Here is a 4,007-nt window from a genome sequence, read left to right as displayed (position 1 = left end):
AATCTCACCACATCCCGATTTTTTCTTTCACCTCATCACTCTGCCAAAATAAATCTTGTAAAAGTCAGGTCATTCACATAGCTAAATTAAATGAACTATTCTCAGCTCTCGTTTCACTCAAATTCGTTGCTAATATAGGTAGCATTCTGTAATGATAGTCATTCATTTCTTGAAATATCTCTTCACTTTACTTTGGGGACTTCTTTGTTTCTCTCTGACCATAAGGGCCATTCTCTTTTCATCTTTTTTAATTGCTTTCTTCCCATTTCCCCACGACTCAGTGTTTCTTTTTCTCTTCTTTCCTAACTACATTTATTTCCTTTCGGTTTTCTAGTCTTATGATTTTTAATGTTTATATATTCACTGCTTCCAAATTCATATCTCCAGCCCAGAGTTCTCCCCAGACCTGATAATCCAATTGCCTATTTACCATCTTCCTTTGGAAGTCTCATCCTAAATCTGTATGTCCATGGAATCAGTTAAGGGCAACACCATCTTTAAGTTGCTCAAATCAGAAATAGTGGCTTCATCCTCAACTCTTCTCCACCTCCACGACCAATATCCATTAGCGTATTTTCTTGGCTGTACCTTTAAAATATGTACTGGATCTAAAACCTTTTTATTTCCGCTATTGTCATGTTAATGTAAGCCGCCATTGTTTCTTTTCTTTTGCAAGGGAGCCTCCTCTGCTGCCCAGGCTGGAGTGCAGTGGCGTAATCTCAGCTCACTACAAGCTCCACCTCCCGGGTTCACGCCATTCTCCTGCCTCAGCCTCCCGAGTAGCTGGGACTGCAGGCGCCCGCCACCACGCCTGGCTAATTGTTTTGTATTTTTAGGAGAGACGGGGTTTCACCATGTTAGCCAGGATGGTCTCAATCTCCTGACCTCGTGATCCGCCCGCCTCGGCCTCCCAAAGTGCTGGGATTACAGGCGTGAGCCGCTGCGCCCGGCCACCGTTGTTTCTCTAGCAGAGAAACAGTAGCCTCCTAACTTGACTCCTTACTGCCATCCTCGTCCACTTGGAATACACACAAAGCAAAGCAGTCAGAATTAGCTTTATAAAGTCATACATTTAATTACATAATCGTTGAGGTAAGAATAAAAGCAAGTTAAAAGAAACTGTAAACTGGAAAAGACATTGGTGAAACAGTACAAGTTATAGCCTATTCTTCCTAACAGAGTAAAGGCTACTGAAGTTGACAAAAAGACCAACGATCTGATTTTTAAAATGAGGAAATGGGAGAAATGGATACTTAACAGGAGAAAAATGAAATGCAAATGTCTAATAATTACATCAAAAGATGCTCAGTGTAATTCCTAAAAAGATAAGTTCAAGTTACATCCTATGTGGTGGCTAGTGAGAGTACAGATGATTTAAGTCTTTTGAGGGGCATCTGGCAGTATTTATCAAAAACACACATATAACCTCTTAAGAGCAGCCTCCACCTTGAGAATGTGTTAACTTGTGAGAACGTAGCTACCTAACATGTATGAAATTAAATAGAAGGGTTCCTTTTCCTTTGTGACACTGTTTATAATGGCAAAAATTAGAAACTGAAGTGGCCAAAAATAGGATAAGGATAATTTAATTATGATATATCCATACAACAGAATAGCATGCAGCTGTATACAAAATGAGAGTGATCTGTTTATTGATATAGAACTCTCTAGAATGTATGGTTTAATAAAAAGAGCCACAGAGAAAAGGAGTATAACAATAGCCAATCACATTGGTGTAAAAAGTGAGGCAGTGGGGAGAGAAATATACTTAGAAATCCTTGTATTTGCCTAAAGATAATCTTACAGGACAGCTAATTAAAAATGGTTTCTTGAAAATGCAGGTAAACCAAGTGAATGGAGACAGGAATGGGAGCAAGGACTTTTAGTGTGAAACTGTTATATATCATCTTTATGGTTAAACCACTTAAGTATATTACCTATTAAAAATAATTTAAATAATATAACATATTATTTCCCTGCATGAAACCTTTCATTAACTTCTTACCTCATTTAGAGAGAAAAAAAAAAAGTCTGGATATTTGTCTACAAGTTTCTGTACCTTCTCATCCTGTCTGCCATCGTTCTTCTCTTGTATTAACCTGCTCAAAACAGACTGACTTCCTACTGCTTCCTGAACACATCAAACACTTCTACATCAGGACTTCTGTTTACTGCTCTATCTCCTTTGAATACATTTGCCCCAGAGATCCTTGGGGTTCCTTCCTTCCTTTCCTTCTGATACCTGTTCAAATGTCATCTTACCTCTGATGCATACCTTGACTACTGTATATAAAGCACTCTCCCATCTTGGGACCTCTACTCCTTTGATGTTACTTTATTATTTATTTAGCAGTTATCACCACTTGGTATCATTTTACTTATTCCTTTTCATCTTCTCTCCCTCTATACAGCAGAATGTAAGCTCTAAGGGAACTTTGTTTCATTCACTGATGGTTTTTCAGTTCCTACAACAGTCCTTTGCACATAGTAGATGTCGAAAGTATTCCTCCAATGAATGAATGTTTGATAAAATGAATTTTAGATAGTTAATCAAGCATAATCCTCTAATTTGTTCTACCAGAATAGTTCACTTGTATGTTCCCGGCAGTATATGAATTCTAACCACATGTATGGTAACCATGGACTTCACAATGTTTGCAAGTGCTAGGAGGAGAGTAAAACATTCTGAACAAAGGATGTTCTTCCCTTTCCTCCCTGTGGCTTAAGCCCAAGAAGCCCCTTTGCCTCTTGGATGGGAACCCTGTGCAATTCACAATTTTAGGAGAGAACTGAGTAAACAGTCTATGAGTAGAAGGCATCTAGATTAGGTTTCAAACCCATTTTTCACCTCTTAAAATACAGTCTAACTCTCAAATGTTGTACAACCATTCTTGAAAACGTAGCATGAATCTATTCAGTCAAACCCAATTTTTTTTTTCCTGGAAATTCACAGTATTTCAACACCACTGCTAAGTAATTCTATCAAGATTACCCACTGTAATCAGTAACAACTAATGCTGATAGGTAAATCTCAAAATTGTGTACATATAATGGGGTTAAGAAAGTTGTACTAAAATATACGTGCTCTGTGTATGTAATTTATCATACATTTAGATAACCTAATCTTTGTTCTATACCTCTTGAGTGATTATGCTGCATGCTGCATGCGAGAGGCAGGTTTTTTCCCCTTCTCCTTAAGGCACCCACTGTTAGATGATATCTTGTTTTTGTGATTTTTGCCTTAGCCTGAGCAGGAGGCAGATAATCCTTTTTTTTTTTTTCCACTTGCCATTCCAAATGAAATAGTGAGAATGCTCCTTAAACCACCTCTTATCTCCAGTTCTATCTGCATAACATTGCCTGGAACTTGCTGCGCCTTCTCTTATTTCATTTCCCTGTCTGCTTTAAGTGCAGGCTCAAACTGTCTTTAGAAATTGCATGTTCCGTGTAAACCCCAGGAGCCGTTTCACATGGGGTTGCCTATAGTTTTCTGACAAACTTGGCTCCTCTGCAGTTCTTCTGAACTTAGAGACCTTGTTCTTTTTTCCCCATTTCTTTTGTTTTTCTTCTTTCAGTCTTTGGTCTTCATTCAGGTTGGCTGGATCTTGTCAGAATTCAGGTTCTTCCGTTCTTGTCTCCCCCTACTGCTATCTACTTCTCATGTTTTCTTTGCTCCCTGATCAACTACATTTTCAAGCATAGCTCAAAACAGCAGAGGCATGATACGGTTGAAGACACACAACCAGCCGGGCGTGGTTGCTCACCTGTAATCCCAGCATTTTGGGAGGCTGAGGCAGGCAGATCACGAGGTCAGGAGACTGAGACCATCCTGGCCAACATGGTGAAACACTGTCTCTACTAAAAATAAAAATACAAAAATTAGCTGGGTGTGGTGGCGCATACCTGTAATCCCAGCTATTAGGGAGGCTGGGGCAGGAGAATCGCTTGAACCAGTGAGTTAGAGGTTGCAGTGAGCCGAGATCTCGCCACAGCACTCCAGCCTGGTG

General features: G+C 39.4%; 1 annotated feature.

Annotated features, from left to right (window-relative positions):
- Positions 3,165-3,691: an enhancer, noted in NCBI's record as "NANOG hESC enhancer chr5:165184639-165185165 (GRCh37/hg19 assembly coordinates)". NCBI's record gives its function as "activates a minimal SCP1, AML or CMV promoter by ChIP-STARR-seq in primed H9 embryonic stem cells {active_cell/tissue: H9 hESC(primed)}" and the evidence as "EXISTENCE:reporter gene assay evidence [ECO:0000049][PMID:30033119]".

Source organism: Homo sapiens, chromosome 5 (genome assembly GCF_000001405.40).
Source record: "Homo sapiens chromosome 5, GRCh38.p14 Primary Assembly".
Classification (NCBI taxonomy): Eukaryota; Metazoa; Chordata; class Mammalia; order Primates; family Hominidae; genus Homo; species Homo sapiens.
Note: the sequence above shows the minus strand (reverse complement) of the source record. Positions and strands in the feature narration are given on the sequence as shown.